The sequence below is a fragment of the Homo sapiens genome, chromosome 3, assembly GCF_000001405.40.
Source record: "Homo sapiens chromosome 3, GRCh38.p14 Primary Assembly".
NCBI classification, from domain to species: Eukaryota; Metazoa; Chordata; class Mammalia; order Primates; family Hominidae; genus Homo; species Homo sapiens.
This window is the reverse complement of record NC_000003.12, coordinates 127,468,816-127,474,383: the sequence shown is the minus strand read 5'-3', so window position 1 is coordinate 127,474,383 and position 5,568 is coordinate 127,468,816. Positions and strand designations below refer to the sequence as shown.

The 5,568-nt window shown below is 54.3% G+C and overlaps 2 annotated features.

The window, feature by feature from the left end:
* Positions 275 to 774: an enhancer, noted in NCBI's record as "H3K4me1 hESC enhancer chr3:127192453-127192952 (GRCh37/hg19 assembly coordinates)". NCBI's record gives its function as "activates a minimal SCP1, AML or CMV promoter by ChIP-STARR-seq in naive and primed H9 embryonic stem cells {active_cell/tissue: H9 hESC(naive and primed)}" and the evidence as "EXISTENCE:reporter gene assay evidence [ECO:0000049][PMID:30033119]".
* Positions 775 to 1,276: an enhancer, noted in NCBI's record as "H3K4me1 hESC enhancer chr3:127191951-127192452 (GRCh37/hg19 assembly coordinates)". NCBI's record gives its function as "activates a minimal SCP1, AML or CMV promoter by ChIP-STARR-seq in naive and primed H9 embryonic stem cells {active_cell/tissue: H9 hESC(naive and primed)}" and the evidence as "EXISTENCE:reporter gene assay evidence [ECO:0000049][PMID:30033119]".

The window sequence follows — 5,568 nt, the reverse complement described above, 5'->3', positions numbered from 1 at the left end:
CTTCTGATATTCATCAATCTAATAGATGAAAATGGCATCTTGTTGCATTTGTGATATGTTATTTTAAGTGATAATAAACATCTAATATAGTTGAAAACTTTGTATTTCCTACTCCTAACATTTGCCTATTTTTTTCTAACAAAGTTTCCATTGTGTTTTTTAGTGATTTGTAGAAACTCTTTATATATTAAAGAAATTAGTCATTGGACTACTTCCAAGCTCACTTTATTATTCAGCAATCCTGGCAGCTTTGCATAGCAATTTTAGTTTCGTACAATTCCAACAACAGATGCTGGGGACACCTGAGGCCCTTTCTAATAGTGGGGACTCAGGAGTCCCAGCAGGGCCAAGGCCTTAGGGTCTGAATAGTAATTGTCTCTCAGAAGATCTCACTGGTGGCTTGAGTTCTTAGCTTGTGGCAAAGCTTCCACCAGCAATAAGTGCTGAAGCTAAATCCTGCCCAGGTCCTCAGATCTGACCCTTGGACTCTGACACAGCCCTGTGTGGGCTAGAAATTGCTGGGGCCCCTGGTTGACCTTCTGGTCCTGGCTCAGGTCCCTCCTGTGTGGGGACCTCCAGCCCTGCCTTCTCATCCTGGCCCTCCCTGGCTCAGGCTCTGCCAACTGACATTCCCACACTCCTGCTTGTTATTCCCCGGGCCTGGGAGAGGGTCCGGGTGGTGTTCACACCCTCACCAGCTTAGGCTGCCCCCTTAGAGGCAGGGCCTGAGCCTGGTTTATTGAGGGAGCTCTCAGGGGACCCCTGTAAGTGGAGGGAAGTGAATGTGCCGAGCAAGAATGTGGTCTCAAGTGGGGCCCGCTGGGATTGGGGCGGGGAAGCGTTCTGGAGAACAAATCTCATTGGCTCTGTCCTGCCCTGAGGCCAGGGGCCTGGGCTCCTGTGCTCTGCTCAGTCAGAACAGCCAGCTTTGCTCTCCACCTCCGGGGGTGGATGGGAGGGTGGGCGTAACCTCCCAGGTGTCTCCACCAGGTGGCACTCATTGGTCAAGGTAAATTCTCGGCATAAGGTCACAGGTGTAAGCCAGGGAGCACTGGGGACCCTGCACCAGCCCCTAAGGGCGCTTTCCTTAAACCAGACACAACTCAGCTCTGCAGCTGATGCAGTGGAGAATCTCCATGAAGGAATGGGGTGGGGCCCTGTCCTCCAAGATTCCTGGCCTTAAGGATCTCTCCCCAATGCCAGCCATCTCTGTCATGCCAGCCTCAAAGGAGCCCTGGGCCCTGCTCTCTGCTCAACTCTGCTTCATAACTGCAGTGCTGGGAACAAACAGTGAAGTGGATGGGCATGACACAGGGAAATAAACCCTCAAAAAACCCAGTTGGATGGCTGGGAAGACAAGCCTCTCTCCAAGGCCGAGGCCTCCGTGGACAGGGTGCCTGCAGGCCTGGACAGCTTCATTCTATACCTGCCCCACCGAGGCCGCCCCAGTTCTGCTGTGAGGACTGTGAACCCCCATCCATGGGGAGGTAGAGACAGAAAAGAACAAGTTTGATAGAGTGAGAGAAGGGGATAGAGCTCTGGAGGAAAAAAGCAGGCAGGTGTAATGAGATGCAGGGCAGGGTGGGAGGTCACGGAAGGACGGGGTGGGCAGAGACCTTCGGGAGGGCGGCCAGGTTGGCTGAGGACACCTTTAGGCAGCAGGCGAAGGCCTTAGGGTGGGGGTGCTGAGGGTGAGCATGGAGGCCGAGGGGCGGAACGGAGTGAGCACAGGAGGAGGGCAGGGCAGGGCAGGAGCTGGAGCCCAGCTCTTCCTCAGTGGGGGCCCTGGCCCGGCAGGCTCCAGCCAGACAACTACACTGGGATTGGATGCTGTCAACGCACACACGTGGTGGGACAGTGCAGTAGGGCCACCTTAAAACCCATTCCCCATCTGGAGTAAGAACCCGAGGGACCCTCTTTCAAAAACTATTTGGATTCTGTTTTCTTGGCTGCTGGACTGGTGCTGCAGACACAAAGGGTCTGCGTTAGTCAAACTCCTGGCCCCCTCCTCCTCTGCCTGCCTCCTTCCCACCAGCTTCCCCCTCCCCTACCCCCTCTTTTCCATAGGCCTTAGTGCCGGGATGGGCTGATAGGGTGCCAGCTCTCCACCTGTCAGGCCACGGATGCACCCTGCCTCTTATCCCTCTTATCCATGGAGCTAGAACCAGGCATGCTTCTTTGAGAAAAAGTAATTTATTTTCTAATTACAAAAGACAATGGGCTTAAACAAAGGGAAGGCAGCTCCACGCTCAGACAGTGGGGCCCTCTGTGGACTCTTCTCTTCCCTCACTGACCTGGGGAGGGGCGCTGGGGTCTCCGGAATGAGGAGAAGCTCACAGGCATGTCTAGAGCCTCAGGCTGGTGATTGGGAGACCCAACGGGGAGACCCCAATCCTATTCCTGGTCCTGTCACTTATTTGAGGACATAGGGATAGCTTGGGAGCTCAGTTACCTATCTGCAAAGCAGGGTCCAGAGTCTGTGGCTTGGGGGTCCTTTCAACTAGGATAATCCATACTTTTGGACATTCATTCTGGGAATCACTTAATTGTTCTTACGGATTTATTGCTCTCCCCTCCTGGTATACCTTCACCCCAAACACACACCCCATTCTTCGGTGTGAGTAGAAATAGCACCTAGATGTAAAGGCCGGACACTCTGCCACTGCCCAGGCCTTGGTCTCCTCATCTGTCCTTCCATGAAGGTTTGCTGGGCGGCCATTTGAGATAATGCAGTGGCAAGTTCCTGTCATGAAGTTGGGGGCATATAAAGTCATTGGGAAAAGGGCAGCTGGCATTTCCTTCCCTCCCTGCCTGTCTCTTTCCTCCCTCCCTCAATTTTGAGCCACAAGGCTGGGAATTCTGAGAGCCTCGAGGACATACTCAGCATTTTCAGCTGGACTTTGTTTTCATTTGTGTGTTTCTGTCATTGAATTTCCCTTTTCTCTCCCTGCCTCCCCCAGTCCCCACCTCTGTCTGACACTCTCTGCTAAACAAATGTGTGTTCAGTGTGAATCAGATGGGCTGAGTCCACTGGAAAGGGGCAGGTGGCAGAGCAATCAGAGATGACTGGAGACCTGGCCTTGCTCCCAAGGAGATTTTGCGAGCCAGGAAGGTCTGGCCCAAAGGGCGCAAGGCTTGAGGTTCAACAGCACCGGCCTGCTTCCAGCTGGGCTGGAGAGGGGACCTACAGGGGAGGGGATGTGGTGATAACCACATGGTGGGGGTGAGAGGAAGGCGCACACTGGGACCGGTCTGGAGACATTAACTCTGGTAGAATGCTTGGGCCTGAGGCGCTTTGACTCTAATTGGTCCTGCTAGGGTCACCTGCCCACCCATGAACTGAGCCCTGTGGCCAGGAGGCTCTCATTAATCAGTATCAGTGTCACCCAGTGCTCCCCACTAGGCATTGAGAGGCTGGGGATGGTGGGCACCTGCAGACCTTCCTCTATCCCCCACTTTCCTTCTTGGTCTGCCTCCCCCTCACACCTCCCTGGCAGCTCACTTCTGATGCCCTGGCTGTGTCCCGTGTTGGCCTCTGATGTGAGCTCCAGGGCTCCCTTCTGACCCCTTAGACCTTTTCTCCCCAGCTCTTGTCACCACAAGGCCTTCCCATGTTAGACCCTGAAGCGACTAATTTGGCCAAACCTGGACTGAATGCCCACCCTTGGTAAGGCTCTGTTGGTCAACTCTCTTGGTTGCAAGAGACAGAAGTCCAGCTCAAACTGGTTGAAGCAAGAAGTTATGGGAATGGGTCAGGCACTGCAAAGTCTTCAAGACTCAATATGGCTTTATTTCTTAGCTCTGTTTTTTTCAGAGTTTTCATTCTTCATTCGTTCATTCATATCTCCCCTAGTGGTAACAAAGACGGCCTGGGACACACTGCACAGACTCCTCCCAGCTGGAAGGGCTGTCAGCAGACAGTTCCTGGTCCTCCAAGGATTGCTCTGGCTAGAGAGAACTGCCTTGGCTAAGGCCACATCCTTTTTCTTGGTGGCCCAGACCCAGTGACTGATGGATGTGAGGATAAAAAGCCTTGGTCATCTCAGCCCACCTCGGTACTAGCCCCAGAGGTCCTTGTAGGGTGGCTGAGGCTGTCACTTCTCCTTCTACCTCCTCCACTTCCTTCTCCCGCCTTCCACAGGGGTCATCCCCAGGCCCCCTTTAATGAATGCTCTGCTTGCTAAAATCTGTGGCAATGTCGAGAGTCTACTTCCCAGGGCACCCAAGCTACTGCAAACCCTGATGAGCTCCTTGTCAACGTCCTACGAGCTCAGTGACCACCCCCCCGCCATGAAAAGAACGACCTGCCTCTTTCCCAAAAGTGCTGCAAAATCTAAAACGTGATACTCCTTGCCTCTGATTGGCTCTGCCTGGGCTACATAACCCCTCCTGAACCAATCGCTGTGGCCGGAGAAATGCAGCATTTTTATTGGCCAGGCCCGGGTCATATGATCAACCAAGAGCCTGGGTCCATCAGCTCACTTGAGATACTGGACTGAGGGGTCGGGGTAACTCCCCTGGGGGATGCTGAGCTGTTTCCAGATGGGGGAATGGGTGCCTGCAGAACCACAGCTGCTCTGGCACAGGAGCAGCTCAGACAGGGTGGAGGCAGGGTGTGGGGCTATGCCAAGCACTGGCAGTGTGGGGTCCCCACAGGACTCGGGGGAAGTGTCTCTTTCCTGGCCCCCAACAAGAACAGTGCAGTAGTTTGCTTCCAGTTCCCATCTTTTCAGTGTGTGCAGGGGGGATGGTTAGGCGACACACAGCCTAAACGTGAGCAAAGCCAGTGATCCTGCCACTATGGTCCTGTCCTTGAGTGGTGCCATGAGGCCAGGAAGGCAGACAGGATGATGGCGGCACCAATTCCACATCACCTGCCAGGAGGCCCCAAGCCGCCCCCTGATCAGAAGCTGCGCGTCTCCAATTAGTCGCCCAGGTGACACACACCAAATCAAAGTCGACACTCTAAATGGGCCAATCAATAGCTCCATTTTCCCCTTCCCACCCTGGTGGGGGAGGGAAAGCTCATTTATGAAACCTTTTCTTCCCCTCATCTAGCAGGCATAAGAAAGCCCAAAGAAATTTGTTTCTCAGTTGCCCTCTGAGACAGCAGGTTTTCCTCTGAAATGTTTTGGGAAACATCTGTGGGGGCAGCCAGAGTCTCATCTTCTGGCCTGAGTGCCTGTCCTCCCATGGCCCTGGGTCAGGATCATGGTGGGGGCAGAGAGGCCTGTCTACATCTCTGCTGTTAAAGCAGAGGGTGCCCCTGCTCTGCCAGGACATAGAGCCCCTGTGTCACCTCAGCCCAAGGGTAGTCCTTCCCCAGGCCCCTCACTCTGCTCCTGGGTGGGGTCAGGCCCCCGATGCCCCCAGGCCTGGGTCCTCTCCTTTCCCTTTCTCAGCCCCTCCCAGGCTGAGACAATCCTTTTGGAGACATAATGTCTGGCAAGAGCCTGCCCCTGCCCAACATGGCATCAATTCATCTTGGTTGAGTGGGTGGTGGGCTGCTCCCTTTTTCCCATGCCTCCCCTGAGCTCTGGCTCAAAAGCTTCTCCCACCTTTGACCCT